At 35.1% G+C, this 25523-nt stretch overlaps 1 protein-coding gene across 3 annotated transcripts in view; it reads right to left on the bottom strand.

The window, feature by feature from the left end:
- The window catches only part of ETNK1 (ethanolamine kinase 1), a 65495-nt gene continuing 43388 nt past the window's right edge, over nucleotides 3417–25523 (bottom strand). The window contains exons 5-8 of one of the 3 annotated variants that reach the window (NM_018638.5): nucleotides 22727–22810; nucleotides 20422–20582; nucleotides 9526–9599; nucleotides 3417–9200 (exon numbers count right to left, since the gene is read on the bottom strand). In NM_018638.5, the coding sequence (NP_061108.3) occupies nucleotides 9128–9200; nucleotides 9526–9599; nucleotides 20422–20582; nucleotides 22727–22810 (392 nt within the window). In that variant the 3' untranslated portion in view covers nucleotides 3417–9127. The other 2 variants (XM_017019580.2, XM_047429100.1) reach the window with 2 other exon arrangements.

The raw sequence follows: 25523 nt of genomic DNA, 5'->3' as shown, positions 1-25523 counted from the left end.
AAAAGTTCCCAATTGCCAAAACGAAAAACTTGAGCAACAAAATTATTTTTTGGTCAACAACTTGGCCAGAAAAATCATTGTAGTGGATTATAGGCCAGTGAATTAAGTATCTGAGTCCTTACTGATATAGTTAAATAAATAAGTGTAAAAAAAAGGTATCACTCCTCATTCCAGCAAAATTCCCATTTCCAAATGTAGAAGAGGGAAATGGAAAATCAATGTTAGACAAACACGTAACTGTTGCAAACAAAACCCACCAATGGATGCTAAAATTAATGGCAAAAGATTTGCATAGTTTCAAAGTATCCCCCCCAACACACACACACACAGGATATTAATTAAAAGGGAAAAACGGGGGAAAAAGAGGGATGGGGGAGAGGCAGAATTGGGAGGAATCCAGCAGTTACCACTTTAATCAAATGATTAAAGTTTACAAAAACTAGTAATTTGTATAGTAACACCTTATACACTCTCATATTGAGAGGTGACAGCATGCTGGCAGCCCTAGCTCGCTCTCGGCACCTCCTTGGCCTCAGTGCCCACTCTGGCCGCGCTTGAGGAGCCCTTCAGGCCGCCGCTGCACTGTGGGAGCCCCTCTCTGGGCTGGCCAGAGCCGGCTCCCTCTGCTTGCCGGGAGGTGTGGAAGCAGAGGCACTGGTGGGAACCCAGGCTGCGTGTGGCCCACGTGGCCCTCACGGGCCAGCGCGAGTTCCAGATGGGCATGGGCTCGGCGGGCCCCGCACTCCGAGCCGCCGGCCAGCGCCGCCAGCCCTGGGCAGTGAGGAGCTTAGCACCCGGGCCAGCAGCTGCAGAGGGTGTGCTGGGTCCCCCAGCACTGCCAGCCTGCCCACGCCACGCTCAAATTCTCGCCGGGCCTCCAGCCACCTCTCCGCAGGGCAGGGCTCGGGACCTCCAGTCCACCACGCCCAAGCCTCCCCCACCCCAAACCCCGTGGGCTCCCGCGCAGACCGAGCCTCCCCGACAGGCACCGCCCCCTGCTCAGCAGTGTCCAGTCCCATCCACCGCCCAAGGGCTGAGGAGTGTGGGTGCGTGCCATAGGACTGGCGGGCAACTCTGCAGGCAGCCCCAGCGCGGCATCCACTAGGCAAAGCCAGCTGGGCTCCTGAGTTGTGTGGGGACTTGGAGAACTTTTATGCCTAGCTCAAGGTTTGTAAATGCACCAATCGGCACTCTGTGTCTAGCTCAAAGTTTGTAAACACACCAATCAGTGCTATGTGTCTAGCCAATCTAGTAGGGACTTGGACAACTTTTGTGTCTAGCTAAAGGATTGTAAATGCATCAATCAGCACTGTGTCTAGCTCAAGGTTTGTAAACACACCAATCAGCACCCTGTCAAAACGGACCAATCACCTCTGTAAAATGGGCCAATCAGCTCTCTGTAAAATGGACCAGTCAGCAGGATGTGGGTGGAGTCAGATAAGGGAATAAAAGCAGGCTGCCTGAGCCAGCAACCACAACCCACTTGGGTCTCCTTCCACACTGTGGAAGGTTTGTTCTTTCACTCTTTGCAATAAATCTTGCTGCTGCTCACTCTTTGGGTATGCACTGCATTTATGAGCTGTGACACTCATCAGGAAGGTCTGCTGCTTCACTCCTGAAGCCGGTGAGACCAGGAACTCACCAGAAGGAAGGAACTCCAAACACGTCTGAACATCAGAAGGAACAAACTCCGGACACACCATCTTTAAGAACTGTAACACTCACTGCAAAGGTGCGTGGCTTCATTCTTGAAGTCAGTGAGACCAAGAACCCACCAATTTCGGACACAATGTGACACATTCTAAACAAGCACATCAATTATGTGGAATTCTTAAAAACACACACAAATGTAATCATAGTGGGTAAAGGGAGAAACAAATATGAATGAGAGAGGCAAGGAAAAATTCTAGTTAGAAGCTGGAGGTATAACTTGGCCTTTTGGCTAAGATCAAGTGTAGAAATTGGAGGTAACAGTATGAACTCACAATCTCCAAAAAAGAGATTTGTATATAAATGTGTGTGTGCGTGCTTTCTTGCTCTGCCAGCCAAAAGAACCTAGGATGGATCAGTAATATCTCAGGAGCCAATAAGCACACCAAGTTCTCAGATCTTAGTTTCTAAACACCATTCCTCCTAAATGGAACCTCTAGGTTCTTTGGAGAAATGGCTGATTCCAGGGCTGAGGCAGAAAAGGTACAAGATGAGTCTAGAATGTCTTCTTTTGCCAGGAAGTAAGCGCTCAAAACATGTTGGGAACATAGCAAAAGGAACCAGATTTGAGGGGCTCCCTCAAGACCAATCTCAGACAATTTTAACAATGACATGAATAAATATAGTATTAATAGCAGATTATAATCCACTGAATAAAACAGAAATCTACGAGTCTATACTTAAAATACAAACAGATGATAGATGATTGATAGGTAGGTAGGTAGGTAGGTAGTTAGATGCCAATAAGAGGACAATTCCTTTCAGTAAAATGCTGAGAAAAGGAGAACATAGCAATATTTTTAAAACACCATTTTACAATCATCGTAATAAAGACTGGATTGGGTAAGAATCATCAAGTATTGCTAAATCAGGGGAGGAAAACAGTGGATGTTTGTAGGGGAACAAAATACTCAATCTAAAGCACCTTCCCACAGACTGCCTATTTGTTGCAAGGGGGAAATATACAGTGAAGACACAGAACAATACTTCAACCAAGTGATCAAAATTAACATCAACAAGTTCCTCATCTCACATGTGATACCTTAACAAGAACACATCACTTGTTAAGGTATCATCTGTGAGATGAGGAACTTGTTGATGTTATCCCCAGTTGGGGATACATAACTGCAAGCTAATCATCAGAAAGTCTCAGACAAACCCAAACTGGAAAACATTCTACCAAAAACCACACACACAAACACAAATTAATGACTATTTTTGTTATGGACAACTGATCTTCATGGCAAATAAACATTTCCTGAAGGCAGAGATCATCTATCACACTATCTGATAATTTTAAGAGTTTGTTGTTTAAATGGATAATCCCTGCCTAGACCATAAGATGCTAAGTCTCAGACAGTGTCTTTATTCCTCTATGTTTCCCAACTCTGGTTCCAAAGAATAGTGAAGACACAAAGCATAATAGTTAGAAGAATAATGAATTTTTAAACTAGGTAAACAGAAATGTTTATAAGTTATGTAATATTCCATAGTCTCATCTCAACCAAATTTTTCCAAAAGTAAACATTTTTTCAAAACTTTTTAATGTATATAAAACTAAAAAAACAGAAAACAAAAAACTAGAATTCAAAGAATCACTCCACATATACATTTATACACTAACTTTGGAAAGTCTTGTGTTTGCAGATATTCACAAGGAAAACCTCAAAAATAAGTTGAAGTAACAATAAAATTTATGAATACACTGTAGTTAGAACTCAACTTTATTGTTACAACGAATTTTTATTTACAGAATATAAATCTCTTCAAAAAGATACATTCCTTCATTTAATCAATGGTAAAAAGCCTTATTAACAGAAATAAAGCCTAAACATCACTTATATTTGAACTGAAAGACAAACAGCTTCATTAAAAGTTTATGAACACATAGTGAAAATGTATTTTTACTTAACCAGTTACATGAATGAGGCTGTTTTTAATTTTCTTCACTGCCAACCTCATTTTATCCACAGAACAAATTTTATTTAAATTAACAGTAGTAAAAATGTAAAACTTAAATTTTGAACATGAAAATATGAAACAAGAAAACAGGAAGTATCTTCATTATCAAACAGATTAACAAATTCTCAGACAGATATTTTCTGAGGCATAGCAAAACACCTACATCAAAAGTTGCATTCATTTAAGAGGTATCAATACATTTTCAGTGCTGAGACTATTTGTAGCACTTACATTATATACAAAGCAGCATTATACTACTATGGTTCACATTTGATAAACACGAATTTAAGCTTTATGCCACAATTTCCCAATTCAACATAAAGCTAACGCAATGACAGTTACCCAATTTCATTCTTTTTCTTCTGAAACTGAATAAGGAAATTATCATTTAAGCACATGGAATAATGGCCATGTCTTTTTCCTTTTAATAACAGTATATTTTAAAACTCAAATACTTCATATCATGGAAATTTGACCAAGCTGTACAAAGGCTCCTAAATACAGTACAGTCAAAAAGTTTCCTCTTTGCAGACTCAATTTATAGTCAATTTAGTACAGATAAATATAGGAAACTACTTCAGATTATTGGACAAATAAGAATTTCAGTGTGTCACTACCTATAATTAAGTAGCAGCACACCACAACCACAGCAAGTAAACACTAATCTCCTCTACTGCCTTTTTGGGGTCTTTTCCAGTCACAGGAGCTAATTTACAGGGATACCACTGGGTTTCAACCAATCTCTGAAAGTTCCTTTATTATGAGTTTTGAAATTTAACTAATGCATCACCTACAATTCTGTTGGCTAGTTTTTTTCTTACTCTTCACTAATTAGTTTTAAATACAATATGTAATGTTTTCAAATTTTTATAAACATAGGTGTTGTACTAAAATGATTAATGGCATTTGAAATACAACAAATGGGTAAGATGTTAACCAAAACAATGGGATTAAGAGTATTTTAGAAAGCGATTTTTTGTTAACTAGAAAAGCTACAGGATTCACAATGAATACAGATACAATATTTTTAACCCTGCTCTTTTATTACATCAGTAGTATAGTAAGTGCATAAAGTATAGAAGAGAAAGAAAATTTCAGGAGAGAAACTTACAAAAAACTTGAAGTTTGATGCGTCAAACACAAAATAGTTTAAAACAGTTTACAGTTCTTATAAGCACTATCATAATTTTTTCTACCCAAATAATTCAGGTCTTCATTCCATTTCAAACTGCAATCCAGAAATGAAGATTTTCAGTGTAAAAACTGTTCAGAGAAATCTAATTCATTATGTAATACATCTTATTAATTTCAGTTTTCAAGTATTCAAGTAATGCATACCCAAGTATTTTCTGTTACAGCAACACATTTACAGACTAAGCCTCAAACATGGGGAAAAATTCATTTAAAATAATTGATACACTTTTCTGTCCAACGACATCAAACCCAAGACATGACACTGGAATCACACAAGTGGTATATAAAAGTTAAAAATTTTAAAATAAGGTGGTTCAATATAAATAATGTCTTCTTTTCAAAAAGAACTGAAAACAGGTTATCTTAATACATAACTAAATTCCCAGTAAAAGGACATTCTGGAATCTAATGGACTAAAGAAAAACCAGAGCAAATCAATTTTGAAAGATGAAGCTGCTTTACCACATACTTAAAATGATTTTTCCTCTGTGCATAATAATTACTAGCATTTGTCTTCTGCATAAAGTCGCACAGGTTACTGTCAACAAGTTTCCTAGCATAAAGCATCGCTAACTTTGTCTATCAACTGAATGACTGATTGATTAAAAGCTTAAGTCTGTATCACTTTGGAATGCTTATTAAAAACAATTTAAAGCAGAAAATTGAAATGACAGTATTTTCACTTATATTATGAAGACAGAAATTCGTAAAATGGTACAGAAGGCTTCTGTGTAATGTAAAAAAGAAATATTTGTATAATTTTAAAAGTGGAGGGTTCTAACTTTTAATTGAGAGTGGGGGAAACTTTTTTTCTTTAAATCTGGAAGCTGTAGTAACATATTTATGAAGTTAAATATTTTTAGTTCAGCAAAAATGGAAATAATTGTCATTACAAGATTACTTAAGTCTTTTCTGTCTTTTATGATCCTATCATGATCAACTTTAAATTTAGAGAAGTCATTTGAGATATGCTTAAGTTGAACTAAAGACTTATTATTTGTCTAATTTCTGTATATATGGAAATTAGATTCACATTGGGATATCTAAAATTTCAAGGTTTTTTTGTAGAAAAAAATTAACAACCCTAAAAATAGGAAATTATTAAATTACATTTTTAATTTCCTTTAGCTTGGAATCATGACTCAAAGAACGGAGCTCTATTAATATAACAGTGTATAAATTCACTGCTTCCAGGAATCTAACCTCACAAAACCTAACGGCTAACTAAAAAATAAAGAAAAGTCTTATTAAGCACTGAGAGGCTAAATAAATGAGTACTGACATTAACCAAAGCCGACAAACCCTATTTCCAGTTCCTGTGATCTCACTGTGTAGCCACAACTGTTGGCTATTTTTACTCTAAAACCAACAAGCTGAATCATTTCCTTACAGAAAAATTTCTACAAAAGGGAAGAGAATGCAAAACAATACACAGTCTCATATGCAAGATACAGTTCACACTAATTTACAAATTTTTATTTACATTTTTTATATACATTCCAGGCAGACCTACTTGATGAGTTTTGTGCTCATATTGATCTCAGATGATCGTGTGTACTGTATGATTTACTACCACATCTCTTTGATTTCCAGAAAATGGTGGTAGCATGGGGTTAGGAGGAAAAGAAATCACTGGTCAGGTGAGATCATACAAGTATGAAGGGGAAAAAAGGAAAAAAAATTGCGGAATTTGGCTTGTTAAAGCATCCAGGCCACTATGGTCTATTGACTAACATTGAATATACATGAATGCCACTTCTTACAGCCATTTTCATATTTACAAAATGAGCTTACTACTAGTTGAGTTATTAGGTAAGGCATTCAAGTTCCTTAGCTTAACATAAAAAGGCAACAGACATCTTAGCACACCACAGGACAGATTTTAGAGGGATGATTTCAGAGCACTTTGAGATTTACCCTCCTTTAGAATCCCTTACATGGTCGATATAAAAGGGAAGCAATTCTGAATCCTATTACTAGCCTGCACCATGATCCCAAAAACCTATACAGGAAGTAGGAGCATCACAACAACCAAAATCTAGCCAGAATGGGGAAAATAGATTAGATATCTTATTTTGTTCCCAAGATCCACTGCATAGTCCCAGAGCTAAAGTGAGAGCCTTTATTCCTGGTTACATTCACTTCCCTATGAATCTCTCCAAAAAACCTACAATAGTGTGACAGCTAGTAGCTATGCACAGTCTATCAGCAATGGCTCAGTGAACCTCTATTCAAAATAGTTTGAAGTAAGAATATGGAGTAAGGTAGAAAAATTATCTTCTCTCCTCCCACAGTTCTACAAGATATATACTGTTGCACTTTAGAAGGCAGAAAGCAAAAAAAAAAAAAAAAAAAAAAAAAAAATTAAGAGTATTACACATTCTTTATCTGTTTTATGAAAATGTTCTAACCACAGACAAAAATTCCACCAAAAACAATTTTTCAAGTTCACACTAACATTATAAAAAGCTACTAGTTGTTTAATTGGTTCCATTCACTTAACTAGGCAAAGTTCTATTGATCTTACAGTAATATGGTTTATAAAAACAAAAGTGAACATTTATAACATTGGGGAGGTAGAAACCAAATCTGGTCTAACACTGTTACAGATACAAACATACTTTAAGATTATATTTATGTAACTAGAATTTACCATTTAAAATGGCCTGTGTTTCTATTTACTTTATTAGCTTCAAAAATCTTGAGATAATCCAAGTATTTTAAAGCATTTGTCTGAGAATATTAAGTCATTTGGAATACATTAGACTCCTCAGAAGATTTCTCAGAGGATAAATTTGTAGTTGCATATTTTGAATATGCAGATCCAGTAAGCCAACTTTGTACATGGGCACTTATGTGACCGAAGTGCAAAGCTTGTCAGACTAATTTTCTAAGTAAAGTTAACCATGACTGCTCAACTACACAGAGCAGACTTCAAAACCTGAAGCCTATTTATCTATCTGAAAGATCTAACTTCTTTCCATACAATAATTACCTCCCTCTTACCACCAGACAAAATTAAAAATACAGTTAAACAAAAACAAGAGAAATAAACAAAAGCCCTCCTGCCATGACTATTTATGCTTAATTCACATTTTGTCATTTGTCAGATTTTAAGTGTACAAGATCAATGCCCTAAGTGTTCCTTATTTAATTATATAACTGCCTCAACATATAACGCTGAACTTACATGTATCAAGTAATCATTTGCTATCAGTCTAAAAACATAGAATCAAACTAAAACATGAAACTAAAATGTGAGGAATGAAACATGAAACTGAAATGTAAGGAATGACTCTGGATAGGTAAAAAATAATTAACCTAAACAATATTTTCTTATTTCTACATATGATAAATTTTGTGTATTTGTTTCAAAAATTAGCAATACTAGTGACTATTTAATAATCAAAAACATAAAGCATCTCTAGAAGTAAAAGGAAATTTTTGGTTAGAAACAATTTGATACTATAAAATTTTTAAAACTGAAAATAGTAACGACCATATTTAGCATTTGAAAACATTATTTAATACAGATTTTGGTAACATTAACTAATACTTATTCCAAGATTATATGGTAAATATTTATATTTATACTGCCAGACTACATAGAGAAACAGGGATTTAATTCTAAGTTATATTACCCCAAAAAGAAATACTTTCTAATATTGAATTCAACAAGATGTACCACCAACAGAGACAGTGAATGTATTTCACCTTCCTAAACAGCTATTTTTATATGAAAATCCTAAATTATCTACATCAGTCAATGACTGGCATTTCAAGAGTAAATGATTCATTTTACTTACAATGCATCAAGATAAAAAGGTTACACTGAACAACTAGAATGTTTACTGAAATTAATCTTATTAAAGTAAAACTTAAAAAACTTATTTGGGACATTTTCATTGCTTACACTCAACGAACGTGAAACAGAGAAAAACAGTCACAGAATCGTGCTAAGTTTATAATAAATAATTCACATACAACATAGGTTAAATTATCAAAGAAATTAAACTGACATCTTTATACCTTTTGCAGATTTAACACATTTCTAATCCACCACATACGGATAGCAGTAGGTATATTTCTTGACATCATTCAGTCTATTTCAAAAATAGATTTGATTGTTTAGAGGCATAATTTATAAAGCAAGATAACCAAATTAAACAACAGAATTTTAACTAATATTGGCTTTTTGGGATTTCTTAAGAAAAGATTCACAAGCATTGCTCAGCTACTGGAGAATAATTAAATCTCTTCTTTACTCAGGCACTTTTAATGCAGTAACCTCAGGCTTCATTTTAAAGTACTGGTTAAAACGAACAATTGCATACCTAGTGAGAAAAGAGAACAACAAAAAAATTAGTCAAAGCTGAAAAACTTGGTCCTTCCCTTATTTTCACTCAGTCCTCTAAGCTGGTTTTCTTAAAGTTTAAGATTTTCAAAGGACATATTTTTAGTTTATTGCACCACCTACTGGACACTTTTCTAATCCTGCGAGCACTTAACAGCTTATAGCAATTTCTTCACAGACCAATTACTAAGTGTATACAACTTTTATAATTGATTGCAAATAACTACAATATTCCCTGTGAATTCTTAATGTTAATCCAAACAAAAGCAGAGACCAATGTAATCATATAATAAAATTTAACTTACCCAAGGAAATCAAACTCAATAGTGGAGTATTTGGCTTGAATCAAAGCCCACAATCCCCAAAAGAAATGAGAAGCCTTAAAAGAAGGAAAGAAAAATCAAAAATTATGATAATGAATTTCTCTGTAAAACACATATGAATTGCTAATTCTATCCTCTAAATCAACTCCATGCACCACACTTTCTTGCTGTTCTTTTTATATAAAGCGTCTAAAACCTAGATCCTACTGACGTCTGCACCCACTAGATGGCTACAGATCACTTTCGTCAACACCAAAGGAGATTATGGTAAATTATAATCACTTGAAAAATAGAGGCCAGTTCCTGTGATGTGCTTTTTTATAAAGCAAAGTTTACCATCAGCACTGATAGATGTTAGTGTTTTTAATGGTTATAATTGCTAACAGGCTTACACATTATTATATCAAAGGCCTTTGTTTCTTGACATACAAATATAAACACAAAAGAAAATCCAAATCTCACAAGCAATAAATATATTTAAATGTGAAAAATGTTCTAGGGGTGACAAACATCTGAAAATGATCTTACTGGCTTAATTCTGCATAACAGACCACAACATAAAGTAACACAACTTATGTCAGGAAAAATATGGGTTTTGGACTTACAGGGAAATTAGCATGTAATTAGTAACTGTAAAATAATTATGTGTGCTTTACAATCTATTTTCAGTTAAACAGGGTAATATTTTAAAATCTGAACAAGATTTCACTTCCCAAGAAATACTATATTCTAACTAGAAATATTCTAAGTAGAAACAGTATTAAAGACAAGGTTTTTGTTTCAGCTAAATTCATTACAGCAACAGTAACAAAGGGGCTCTAACAAAAAAGTATTCAACAGCCATGACCTTGGTATTTAAAAATACCAAGCAGCACAGTATACCAAAAAGAATTCTTAATTTGAATTACAAGATGTAGAGGTTCCAGTCCAGGCTCTATCTCTGAGTACCTTTGCAACCTTTAATAAGTCACAAACTTTAGTGTCAGATCTATCATTTACGAGATGGGAATATTAGCCATTCTGTATTCTACACAGGATTGTTTTAAAGACTAAAGGATATAATACATGTAAAAAAAATTTTTCAACCTAAAGATCTCTATTTAAAAAGCACTCTGCACTTTGTTTTTGGCTTCCTCAAAAAAATACCACTAACTATTCAGCTATTCAGGAGGCTGGTGATCACTAGAGCTCAGGAGTTCAAGGCTGCAGTGAGGAGCATGCCACTGCACTCCAGCTTGGGCAACACAGTGAGACACTGTCTCTTAAAAAAAAAAAAAGAACAGGAATATAATTTCTTTCCTGATATAGAGATAGAAAAGAATAAACAATGTAGCAAAGACTAAACAACTAAAGTCACTTGCACATGAAGCATAAAAGTTAAAAAAACAAGCTGGGCTCTGGCGTGTGGCTTTAAGCACTTCACGTGGTGCGTTTATTTCCTCATCTGTAAAATGTAGGTCATAATAGTACCTATAGCTGGCATATAACAAATATTCAATAGAATGCTAGCTATTCTTACTATATGAAACCAGAATGATTAAAAATGATAAAGATTTTCAAAAATGGTCTTCTATCTAAAAAAGTATATCAGGTATTGAGAAATGAAATTATGAAATTAGAGGACTTCCTTCTTTTCAAAGTCTACATCAGAGGTTCTTAAAGTGGTCGATGAACCCATGGGAGTTTTCGGAGGCCCAAAATTACTTTCATAATTATACTGATATGTTACTTGCCTTTTTGACTATGTTAACATTTGCACCAATGGTTCAAAAGCAGTGAGGGTGAAACTACTGTTACCTTAAGTCAAGGCAGTGGTAGCAAATCACACTAGTGTAATAGTCTTATTCTTCACCATCACACAATAACAGTAAAAAGCCAATGTCACTAAAGAATGTCCTTTGTGAAGCCATTAAAACTATTAATTTTATTAAATCTCTACCCTGGAGTACGTGCTCTAGTATTCTGTGGGAGGAAATAGGCAGTACATATAAAGCACGTCTACTGCATATCCAAAGTACAATGGATGTCTCAGGAAAAACACCTAGGTAACTGACTTTTGAGTTGAATTTGCACATTTTTAATGGGACACAATTTTTACTTGAAAAAAATGACTAATATACAAACTAGAGTTATCAAACTAGAGTTATCAGACTTGAGTATTTGGCAGACATTTTCTCAACTATAAAAAAGATAACTTGCCATTTCAGTGAAAATAACTGACAATATTTGTTGCCAATGATAAAATTCAAGTTTTCACCCTAAAATTAGAACATGAGAAAAGTTTTATGTGATTCTGTGAGCTTAACAGCTTCTCAATATAGTACTATAAGTTTTTCTGATGACACTGGTGGTGATATCAACATATGTGATCTTTAGCTATCTTATAATGAGATGTGTCAACATTTGGAAGATCTATACAACTCAATGAATCAATTATTTTCCAAATAACTAATAAGTTAAAATTACAAAATCACATACAGGTAAAAGAATCATTCAATCTGCAAGATAAACCAGTAGATTTTAATGTAATAGAGTAAAAAATTAATTGATACATTCAGATTATTCATGGCAACTAACCTTTAAGAAACTATCACTTGTTGAGCTTTGGTCTAGTATCAAAAAAGAATATCCACAATTATCTGAAAAGGCAAAATACTCCTCTTTTCCAACATGCATGTGTGAAACTTTTTTTCATATACTTGAAATGAAACAATCCATCACAAAAGATGTAATGCAGAAGCAGATACGGGAATCCTGCTGTATTCCATTAAACCAGACATTAAAGAAATTTGCAGAAGTGTAAAATAATGCCAGTCTTCTCACTAAATTGTTTTTTGTTTTGAAAAATAGTATTCTATTTATGGCATTTGCGTTAATGTAATGAGTTTATTTTAAATATATATATATACTTAAATGTTTGAATTTTGACTTCTAATATGTTAAATACTGTTAATTATTTCACAAAAACAAAAGCTTGTAGAGGTCTTCAAAAACATTTTAAGTATGAAGGGGTCCTAAGATTGAAAAATTTGAGAACCACTAGTCTAAATTGCCTTGCATATTTTACGCTGATATAAAATCACCTATAGATGGTATCCTAATCTCTTCTTCCTACTAAATTTGCTCTGTAGTGGAAAAGACTGAGAAATCAAGAGTCATTCTGCATTTTAAAAACATACCAACTTAGCTCTTCTCACCATTGTCAAGCAGAGATGGTAACTATATTTCTCAATCAGTTTTTATTCATATACTTATATAAATTAACTAAACGATTCTACACTAGAGAAGCATTATCCATAAAACCTCACTGAAATCTCATTTGTGTAGGCAACCATTTTTATAGGGGGAAAAGTGATAAATTAATATATAACAGTAGATTCTAAATGGATGAGAAACAAAGGCAGAAAACAGCCCATTCATCATTTGCATCCCCCCAAAATACAAGTACATCCAAAAAAATAATAAATTCTGTAACTATACTATCTCTTTCACATTTGGAAGTTATGGATATGTAAGTCTCTCTGTTAAAGGGTATTTTAATTTCTAGACTACTTACCCCTGTTGCAAAGAAATATTCAAAGCTTTATATGGTAAATAAATAACTAAAATAAATCCCCAGTGTGCATATAATGGAGGGGGGGGCGGGGGAAGAAAAGCTCCACAAAGCCATTACGTATACTCTGTTTGGTTTTATAACCCATATACCTACTTTTGTTTGCCACCATCTCAACATTAAACAATCAATGACAAGTGAAATGTTATAATCTTTAGAAGTCTGTATCATGGCCTGAGCAATCAACATTTACTAACCATTTATACTATTTCAAAACATGTATACCCTGATCTTATCATTCAGACCTGCTTTTCTTTTTATCAAAGCAGCTTCATAAACTATCTAAGGAGGAAACAGCACTTAAGACACATCCATAAGGAATAAGAGAAATCTGCCAAGAGATGCAGGGTAAAAGGCATTCCAGGTAGAAGGAATAAGCTTCTAAGTACACAGACATGCAACATCATGGAGTATGCCCGCACAAAATGACTCTGCTAGAGCAGAAGTAGGACGTGTGAAGTAGTGGGAAATAAGAGTTTGCAGATGCTGTCATTTGGATTTCATTCTGTAGGTCACAGGGAGCCATAAAATAGAAAAGTGACACAATCTAATTAATTAAATTCTAATTACTAGAAAGGATCACTTTTTTAATATACAGAATAAATGAAAGACAGGAAAAACAAAACAACAACAAAAAAAACTGAAGGCAAAGAGACCAGTAAAGGCTAATGTTGGCAAGAGATTCAGTCCTCAATCAAAGGTAAAAAATAAAAGGAGAAGGTGCTGAAATCAAGAACATTTTAGGAACCAAGAACAGAACTTGGAAGGGGTAGACCCAAATCAGAACACTAGGGAATACTGTTAACATGTAAGAGGGCTGGGAGAAGAGGAGGAAAGAGGAGCCAGATTAAGAGACTGAGCAAGACAGTACAAAAAGAGAATTTGTCACACAGCTTTAAAATGATGTATGTATTCCTCCACCCTTCAAGAATATGGCCAGGTGAGGTGGCTCACACCTGTAATCCCAACACTCGGGGAGGCCGAGGTGGGTGGATCATTTGAGGTCAGGAGTTCGAAACCAGCCTAGCCGATATGGTGAAACCCCGTCTTTACCAAAAATACAAAAATTAGCTGGGTGTGGCGGCAAACGCCTGTACTCCTAGCTACTGAGGCCAGAGAACTGCTTGAATCCAGGAGGCAGAGGTTGCAGTGAGCCAAGATTGTGCCACTGCACTCAAGGCTGGGCGATAGAGTGAGACTCCATATCAAAAAAAAAAAAAAAACAAAAAACCAAGAACAAAAAACACGAATATGAGAACTATCAGATCGCATATGTAAAATGCAACTACTCCCACTCCCTAGGAGAATGCGAAGTCTTATCGGACCCTATGATGGTTAATGTTAGGTGTCAACTTGATTGGATCGAGGGTTGCCTAGTTGGCTAGGAAAGTATTGTTTCTGGGTGTGTCTGTGAGGGTGTTGCCAGAGGAGACTGACATTTGAGTCTGTGGACTGGGAGAGGAAGACCCACCCTCAATGTCGGCTGGTATCATCCAATTGGCTGCCAGCACGGCAAAAACAAAGCAGGCAGAAGAAGGTAGGATAACTTTGCTTGCTGGGTTTTCTGGCTTCCTTCTTTTTCCCCATGTTGGATGCTTCCTCCTGCCCTTGGACTTCAGAATCCAAGTTCTTCAGCATTTGGACACTTGGACTTAAACGCCAGTGGTTTGCCAGGGGGCTCTTGGGCCTTTGGCCACAGACTGAAGGCAGCACTGTCGGCTCTTCTGGTTTTGAGACTTTCAAACTTGTACTGCGCCACTACTGGCTTCTTTCTTCCTCAGCGTGCAGACGGCCTACTGTGAGACTTCAACTTGTGATCAGGTGAGCCAATTCTCCCTAATAAACTTCCTTCCACTTATACATATATCCCATTAGTTCTGTCCCTCTGGAGAATGCCAATACAAACTCCATATGTGAGTACTTGGGGTGAACTCCTTCCCCTCTTGGGAATGTTACATTACACTTTCTCAGACCCCATGTGAGTAACTGACCTTAACTAGTGGACTTCAAAATACATATAAACATAACAGTTTGACATTCTGAACACTTAGTCTGTGACAGGCTACACTCTGTCAGTTACTTCTCCAAAAGCAGAGTTCAGGCCTCTACAGGCCTTGGAGCTTTGAAGTCTTGTCATGACAACATTAACGTCCAACTTCTTGTGTCCAGGAACTTCAAGTGTCTTCATGGATCTCTCCTATGTTGGTCAAGCCCAAGAAACTAATCGTAAAAAGCTCAATCCTCTCCTGCTTTCATCCGAATTGGACTAGACTTTTAACAATTTGGAACTCACTCATTATATAGTTAATGTACCTCATCTATTGAGTATATTCCCTGTGAGATTTGTTCAGGTTGTTCTTCCTCTCTTTAAGCATTGTGAACCTAAGGGGAAAAAACTATCTTTGTATGGCAATAAAGTGTGTAATTCATGAAACCAGACTTTGATCATTTCCTTATTTTCACCATACATAAAACTATCACAAAAGTCAACAAGAGAACATTTTTTAAATCAATGGTAAATACTGTCAAATGCTACTGACAGATCAAGTAAGATAAGGACTGAAAAATTTACATTGGACTTGGCAATTATGTCATGATTGGTAAGCCTTACCTGATTTTCTTTTTACAGCAGTGAGGGAAAAGGCAGATTGCAGTGTCTGAGAAACGCATGAAGGATAAAGGAGTAAGATTCAGGGTTTCCTTTTATTTCACATTGCAATCACAATTATTGATTCATTCAAATGCTTGAGATGCGAGAGGCACATACTTAATAAACAGTCGGAGGAAATTAAGAGTTGGTAAGAGAGGAAGGTAAACGGCTAGCTAAAAAGAAGATATAGAAAGTCTTGGAAAAGAAAAGAAGATATGTCAAAAGAAGATAGCAACAGAGGCCCTGATGCAAGAAAGTTGTGACATCCCAGAAGGGCAGGAAAAGCACACAACAGACGATCAGCAAATTCTGATAAAATAAGAACAGGAATCGAAACAAAAACTGACTTGATAAATAAAGGGCTTTTCAAAATCTCCTTAAGCTGAAAAGCAACTTCAGCAAAGTCTCAGGAAAAAAAAATCAATTTACAAAAATCACAAGCATTCCCATACACCAATAACAGACAAACAGAGAGCCAAATCATGAGTGAACTCCCATTCACAATTGCTGCGAAGAGAATTAAATGCCCAGGAATACAACGTACAAGGGATGTGAAAGACCTCTTCAAGGAGAACTACAAAACCACTGATCAAGGAAATAAGAGGACATGCACAAATGGAAAAACATTCCATGCTCATAGATACGAAGAATAAATATTGTGAAAATGGCAATACTGCCCAAAGTAACTTACAGATTCAATGCTATTCCCATCAAGCTTCCATTGACTTTCTTCACAGAATTACAGAAAACTACTTTAAATTTCATATGGAACCAAAAAAGACCCTGCATAGCCAAGACAATCCTAAGCAAAAAGAACAAAGCTGGAGGCATCATGCTACCTGACTTCAAACTATACTACAAGGCTACAGTAATCAAAACAGCATGGTACTGGTACCAAAACAGATATATAGATCAATGGAACAGAACAGAGGTCTCAGAAATAACACCACACATCTACAACCATCTGATCTTTGACAAATCTGAGAAAAACAAGCAATGGGGAAAAAATTCCCTCTTTAATAAATGGTGTTGGGAAAACTGGCTAGCCATATGCAGAAAACTGAAACTGGACCCCTTCCTTACACCTCATACAAAAATTAACTCAAGATGGATTAAAGACTTAAACATAAGACCTAAAACCATAAAAACCCTAGAAGAAAACCTAGGCAATACCATTCAGGACACAGGCATGGGCAAAGACTTCATGACTACAAACACCAAAAGCAATGGCAACCAAAGCCAAAGTATACAAATGGGATCTAATTAAACTAAAGAGCTTCTGCACAGCAAAAGAAACTATCGTCAGAGTGAACAGGCAACCCACAGAATGGGAGAAAATTTTTGCAATCCATCCATGTGACAAAGGGCTAATATCCAGAATCTACAAAAAACTTAAACAAATTTACAAGAAAAAAAAAACCCATCAAAACGTAGGCAAAGGATATGAACAGACACTTCTCAAAAGAAGACATTTATACGGTCAACAAACATATGAAAAAAAGCTCATCATCACTAGTCATTAGAGAAATGCAAATCAAAACCACAATGAGATAGATACCATTTCACGCCAGTTAGAATGGTGATCATTAAAAAGTCAGGAAACAATAGATGCCGGAGAGGATGTGGAGAAACAGAAACGCTTTTATACTCTTGGTGGGAGTGTAAATTAGTTCAACCATTGTGGAAGACAGTGTGGCAATTCCTCAAGAATCCACAACCAGAAATACCATTTGACCCAGGAATCCCATTACTGGGTATATACCCAAAGGATTATAAATCATTCTACTATAAAGACACATGCACACGTATGTTTACTGAGGCACTATTCACAATAGCAAAGACCTGGAACCAACCCAAATGCCCATCAATGATAGATTGGATAAAGAAAATGTGGCACATATACACCATGGAATACTAAACAGCCATCAAAAACGATGAGTTCATGTCCTTTGCAGGAACATGGATGAAGCTGGAAACCATCATTCTCAGCAAACTAACACAGGACAGAAAACCAAACACCACATTTTCTCACTCATAAGTGGGAGTTGAATAATGAGAGCACATGGACACAGGGAGGGGAACATCACACACCGGGGCCTGTCAGTGGGTAGGGGGCTAGGGAAGGGACAGCATTAGAAGAAATACCTAATGTGCATGACAGGTTGATGGGTGCAGCAAACCACCATGGCACATGTATACCTATGTAACAAACCTGCAGGTTCTGCACATGTACCCCAGAACTTAAAGTATAATAATAAAAAATTTTTTTAATTGAAATAAATAACGGGCTTTTAATGTTTCTTAATGAGGAAGAACTAGAAATTGGTATCAGAATCTCAGAGTATAACACTTACTATATGCCCTATGGAAAAACTTAGTATATGTAAGTTCAGAGGACATATTAAATTATTCAGAAATGTTATTAAAAAGGTACTGAAGTTTTATGTCTATCAATTGTCCTTTATCTTTTTTTAATCAGACCTTCTACTGAATGTATGACATTTATTAATATATCTGTTGTTCATTTCATGAAGATATTCTTTTTCATTTTGAATCAGAGTAAGTAAGTTTCCTTCTAATTCCAATTTACCAATAATTTTACAGCAAAACGGGTGTTATGGCTGGGTATAGGGCTTATGCCTGTAGTCCCAATACCCTGGGAGGCTGAGGCTGGAGAACTGCTTGAGGCCAGGAGTCCAAGACCAGCCTGAGCAACATAGCAAGACCTTGTCTCTCCAAAAAGTTTTAAAAAATCAGCCAGGCATGGTGGCATGCGCCTGTAGTCCTAGCTACTTGGGAGGCTGAGTTGGGAGAACCCCTTGTGCTCAGGAGTTTGAGGCTGCAGTGAGCTATGATCGTACCACTGCATTCCAGCCTGCGTGACAGAGCAAGACCTTGTATCTAATAAAAAAATAGGTCTGGCATGATGGCTCATACCTATAAATTCCCAGCACTTTGGGAGGCTGAGCCGGGAAGAATCACTTAGGCCCAGGAGTTCAAGACCAGCCTGGGCAATATAGAGAGACCTCATCTCCACAGAAAAATTAAAAAAATTAGCCAGGCATGGTGGCGCTTGCTACTCAGAAGGCTCAAGTGGGAGGACTGCTTAAGCCCGGGAGGTTGAGGCTGCAATGAGCTGTGATCACATCACTATACTCCAGGCCTGGATGACAAAGCAAAGACTGTCTCAAAATAAAAATAAAAGTAAATATTAAAATAAAATCAATTTCAAAAGAAATGAGTGTTAACTTTTACCACCAAAAGAGTTATTCTGTACATCTTATTTGGCCTTCTAAATTATAAGCATTTTGAAAGAGTGCATTTTTTTTATTCTTCCAATCTACTGACCTAGAATAACAGTAAGTACTTAGTATCTGATTGATGAATATTTATAAACAATTGATCAAATCAGAAGCAAAGGTATTTTTCAATGCCATGTACAGATACAGTCACAGTATCCCCCAAAAATCTTAAATGTCATCAAAAGTTTGCAAGGAAATCCAAATCAGCTTTCTAATAGCAAACAGTGGGATTGATGGTTAAGAATTGATGAGCTATGTGTACTTTACCTGGAAATTAACTAATTCAATGCATAAATGGAATATTAGGCTGAATCTGAAATTCATTAAATCACCTAATGAGAAAGAAAACCCTACATTCTCTAAGATCATGCTTAAATACAATAAATAGAAAAGCAGGCATCCTAGGACCAGCTGTAGAGCATGTCATTAATTGAACCAGTAACTGTACTGAAAATAGATAGAAGAACAGCAGGTAAAGGAACATTTCAGGACACCTTCTTACTTGGGATGTATTCTGAGTAACTCTGGGCATATGGTACTTTTAAGACTATAAAAATGGCATACCCATATACCACTAGGGTCTATCTGTAGAGACAACACAACAAATATTTCCCATGTCAACTATACAAAATTATATTAAAACCAAAAAGCAGCAGCTAAAATAGCTTTGGCTTATTATTCCATTTAATTATCTAACACCTTAGTTGAAAGATCATTCTAATGTATCATATTATTCTCAAAAGATAATGAGCTCATTTTTAAAATATAAATGCATGTAAAGAGAAGTAGGTCTTAATAATAAAGCTTTAAGACACCAATAAAGCTGGAAATAACTGCTTATCAAATGAAGGTCAAGAAGACAAAACACTGGATAAGTCATAAAAAACATAATCCTACAGGTTCTTCCAACCTACTTTTATCACATAAGATCTAACCATAAAATGTGTTGTGGAAAAGCTCCTCTCCTGTAAAATTTGACTTTGATGTAAAGAAAGGAATAGACTAAGAAATTGTTTTATGCATCAATCTTAACCCTGATAAGAATCTACTCATTAAACAAATAATTACTGAGTACCTATCATATGGCCAGGCATTGTTCTAGGGGATGGGGATATAGCAGGAAATGAAACAAAATTTTTGTCCTTAAAACTAATGCAATGGGGTAATGCATACTGTAAATGGTCATGTATTTACATTATTTTGAACAAAAATTCACAAAACTTAAAATAGGAAATTGTCTAAGATGACGAAAATTTAGAAGCATTTTCAATTACAGTAAGAACCTTTCATTAATTGTGTACATTTAAACTTACCAATGCAAACTGATTGACTTGAATGAAGAGTATTTCTACCTCCTTTTCAGTAACTTCAGTCCCAAAGCCCTTAAATTCTTTGTAGGCTTCAAGGTAAGCACGCAGCCACTGACTCTGTAGTTCTCTATCTGGATACAGACTATAGTCTACATCACTCACACCTTTAGAAGAAAAAAAACTACACTCAAAAATTTTAAAACATAAACTCTTCTGCATACCTTAATAATCCCTAAAACCACCATTTTTTCATAAAAAATGAAAAGTTCCATTTTGGCTGGAATACTGCATGTTAAGTAAAAAGCATTTATTAAAATAATAAACCAATCATTCTGTATTTCAGCTTAAACACTAAGGCACATTACTGTTGATCACCAAATCAATTCTCATAGCTTCAATTTTTCCTCAAAGTTTATAGCTTGAACCAGCTGCATCACAAACCCAAACTATGCATTTTAGGAAGCAACCCAGGAAATTCTTAAGCATGCTGACATTTGGAGCACTACCTCAAAGTGTGGCTATAAAACTTTTCAAACCATGACTCATGGTAAGAATACTTTTTTTTTTGGAGACGGAATCTCGTTCAGTCACCCAGGCTGGAGTGCAGTGGCATGATTTCGGCTCACTGCAACCAAGAATACATTTTTTTTGAGACCTTATACATAGAACCAGCTGATACTACATTTCACAAAACAGTATTTATCCCAACAACATTTTCCAACTCTGAGATTTTGTTTCTCTTTTCCATTCCTTGCAAACAAAAAAGTCATTACCCCACAAATTTAACTTCATGATCTATAGTTTGGAAAATACTAACCTAGAAGACAAAGTTCATACTATCTTGCCATCCAAGGTTCTTTAGAAGTTGGTCTAAATCTACCTCACTAGTCCTATAACTCTGTAGTCTCCTTCATGAATTCTATATCCTATAAAAGTAAGTAGTTCATCTTAAAGTTTTTTCCCCTTTCCTTCTCTTTAGTTTGCACATCCAAATTCTACCTAACTCACAAGGTTTAGCTCACTTTTTTTGTCCACAAAATCATTAGAAGATCACTGGAGTTTTCTATTTCATATCCACGGCAGTGGCCGTCTATATTACTAACATGTTAATATTTTATTATATGCACAGCTAGTTCCCCTTCCATAGATGAGATACGTAAAAATATGTACAGCTTATATGTATATGATAAGCTTGGTAGTCCAAAATAACTGGAAACATCAAATTAAAATTTTTTCCCAGAGTATTTCCCAGTCTGGTAATCTGAAGTATATAAAAATATATAAATATATAAACTTACACAAATATAAATTCAACAATAAAAAATTCCTACTAGGTATAAACCATTCTGGGGTATGTTCTAATCTTTAGTTTTTAGAGCATTTCGTGTTTCTAAATAAAGAGTGATAAAATGGATTTTAAATTCTTCCCACTTACATTTAAAAAACTAGTAATTTTAACTTAAGTAATTATAAATTAATAGGGGTAAAAATGACCAACTTTTCAATATTCATAGACAAAGTCAAAAAAGGTTATTGAACTTTTTAGTGAACTAATATTCCAAAAGCCCCAGTTTACAATGGAAACAGCAAAGGCTTTTTAAATGCTTAAAAATTAGCTTCAAATCTTAGTTCTCTGTATTTTACTGTGACCTTGGTGAGTTTCTTTCTTGATATGTAAACTGCGAGTATTACCTTGTAGGGCTGCTGTGGAGAAAAAAATGAGGTAAGATTTATGAAGCACCTTATGCTATGTCTGATCTCAACAGAAGCCACAATCATTATTTTTCTCCTATCTATTACTTTTTTTTTTTTTTTTTTTTTTAATGAGATGGAGTCTTGCTCTATCGCCCAGGCTGGAGTGCAGTAGCGCGATCTCGGCTCACTGCAAACTCTGCCTCCCGGGTTCACGCCATTCTCCTGCCTCAGCCTCCCAAGTAGCTGGGACTACAGGCGCCCACCACCACGCCCGGCTAAATTTTTTGTATTTTTAGTAGAAACGGGGTTTCACCGTGTTAGCCAGGATGGTCTCAATCTCCTGACCTCGTGATCCGCCCACCTCGGCCTCCCAAAGTGCTGGGATTACAGGCGTGAGCCACCGCGCCCGGCCACCTATTACTTTCTGATAGCAATTAAGGAAGAAATTTTGGTCATCTCTGCTTTCTTCCAGTGATAAACAAAAGCAAAGAAAAACGGTCAACAACACGTGGGAAAATGTTCCCCCTGCTCACGGTTTATCTACTTTAAAAAAAGAATGAAATATTCTGAAAATATCGTTTCAAAGCTAAATAAGTTACTCCATTAGTTATACCTGCAAATTCATTGAAATGATTTCCAATATCATATGCCAGGTAGTTGTATCCAGAATATTCATAATCAATGAACTGTACATCACCTATGTGAGACACAAAAACAAAGACATTAAGAAATCACATATAAGATCAGAAAATCCCTATGCTATTTGTAATTAAATAGCTTCCAATATTTTGTCTCATTGTACGTGCTTGATTACATGCACTTGTGAGACAATACAGGGTAAGGGGCTGTGAATTTTATGGCAATGAGCTTTACAAAATTCAAATTATGTCTCTTGGTCAACAGCTTCTTTATAAACACTAATGTCCACTTTTTTAAAGAAAAATGAAAAGACAGTCATTCTCCAAGTTTAAGCAAAAGCAAAATAAATCCTTTGCCACATGGGGGCATCAGTTACTTAAAAATTCAAGTTTAATTAGAAACATAATTTTTATCTTTGGAAATTACTAATAATCTGTGTAATTTTAACAAAAACTTTATGATACTCCAACAGTAAACTGACAAGCTTATCTACATATGGAAATAAAATATAAACTTTTAAAGACCTGAATTCTGTAAATCTTGCAATAATGCTATACTTGCTGAGCAATGTAAGATCACTAACAAGAAGTTAGTTGCTATCATATGCTTACATTTTCCTGTAATACTACCTAACCAAGGTTTCCATATCTGAGCAGCATTACGGTGCAATAAGGTGGTGGTTTTATCTTACAAAAAGCAAAAGTATGGTTTCTTTTAACGTTTATAAACGTGAGAAATTTTCACATAAGCTAAATAGATGCCTATTCTAAATTACTGCTACATATATAGGCATGTCATTATAACTCTCCAAAGATAATCTAGTTCTTTCATACTACTACTCAGGAACTTTTAACTTTTGAGTAATGAATATTATAAAGGATTTGCCTTAACAAAGATATAGGTCCTATATTCGAGAGAAAAAGCAAAAAAGAGAGAGAGAAACCTTAAAAAAAAAAAAAATCAATGTGGGTCACTGTCTTCACCAGGGATCACAAACTCAAAGGCTTACAGGGGCGTGGAGTTAAAAATGGATATATGAACAGAGATGGCTGTAAGAATATAGAAAATGTTTAACACCTGCATAGTTACACTGTCTTTTAATCATCAGGCTTAGGTAGGAGAACAAATTCCCGGTCTTTACACATTGTTATTTATTTCCCAAATAAAAACAGCTTTTGAATTATAATATGTTGATATACATTTGTAAGTTTAATTTTGGGAAGTATTTGATCATATTCAAACACAAAGAAAAACAAAATTACGTGACAAAAAATGTCATGGCAAATAGTGTTTTACATAAAAGCAAAAATGTTTTTAATATAATTGTATTTAATATATAATTCTAAACTTATTTAAATAAGTCACATCTAGAATAAGTGAGAATAATCAATGTTATAACCCAGTTATAAAAATGTAATGTGTATTATTATAATAAATATAAGATTTAAAAATATTGGTGACAATAAATCACGGCAATTCAACTACCTCAAGTATTATATATTTTTTTTCTCTTTTTGTTTTTTGTAGAGACGGGGTCTTGCTATGTTGCCCAAGCTGGTATGGAACTCCTGGCCTGAAGTGATCCTCCTGCCTTGTATACTTGAATTCACAGAACATTATTCCACAAAAAGTTTTAAGAGTTAACCAAATCATTTTACTAAACTGCAGAATGGGAAGTAGAAACATGTTTTAAAGTTTCTTTTCTAGGAATCATTGGGAGTAGGAGAGTGAAGACAACCATCATGATAAAATACTCACAGGCATGAAAATAAAATGAAATAAAACCATGAAGAAATCTCATTTTCAAAAATAATGACCAGGGAAATTACAAATGTCATGAAAAGGAGATACTAAGTAGTAAACTGTGATCCAAATTAAAATATGCCTACAGAGAAAAAAAAATATGTAAATAATGCATGGGGGGGAAGGATGAATGGAAATAAACCAAAATGTTTAAACTATTAACAGGTGATAGACAAGTGACTTTTTTCTTTTATTTTTTTATTTTAAAATTTATGTACAATAAGTAATAGAAATAAATTAAAGGAAAAAAGTTATTTTAAAAGAGAAGATGAATTCCCTATACAAAACTATCAGTAAAAAGACTAAAACACAATGATTTCAGAGATACCTATCCACCAGCCTTCAGAAACTCAGGATACAAGATTCACTAAGTTGTACAACTGAGCTAACCTAACAGTTTTAATATATAATTTTTTAAATCTGCAGCTGTTGATAGCTTTAGCTCCTTAAAAACAAATTCTTGTAGAGCTCATATTAACTGTTACATGCCAATAAAAATACACAGCCCAGTCCTGAAGCTTACTTTTGCCACATAAACATAAGCTTCAATTTCAATTTTCAAAATTATATTTAGAATTTGGCAAATACAGTTAAAATGGCAGGTAAAACATCCCTGCTTGTAGAGTAAATACAATTTAATTAAAGCATAGCACATTTTAACAAAAGTTAAAATCTGTTTCACTATGAAAATTTTAGCAATGACTTTTTGTAGTAACATTAATTAATTAAAACTAGCCTTTATTTTTAAATGCTATGTTGAGTTTATAAATAATGAAATTTTAAAAATAAGAAAATGAAGCTAACAAGATACAGATGAGGCTGTTACCAGGCTCCGTGCATGTGAACAAGTGATGCGATAAACCTCCAGTCAGTGCGTTTAAGAAGCACGGGGTGCGCCGCCACATGGCAGCAACAATGGCATACCTAATCTGTAGCAGATGAAGAAAATTTGGCAAACTCACATTGTA

The sequence above is a fragment of the Homo sapiens genome, chromosome 12 (assembly GCF_000001405.40).
Source record: "Homo sapiens chromosome 12, GRCh38.p14 Primary Assembly".
In the NCBI taxonomy this organism is placed as follows: domain Eukaryota; kingdom Metazoa; phylum Chordata; class Mammalia; order Primates; family Hominidae; genus Homo; species Homo sapiens.
Note: the sequence above shows the minus strand (reverse complement) of the source record. Positions and strands in the feature narration are given on the sequence as shown.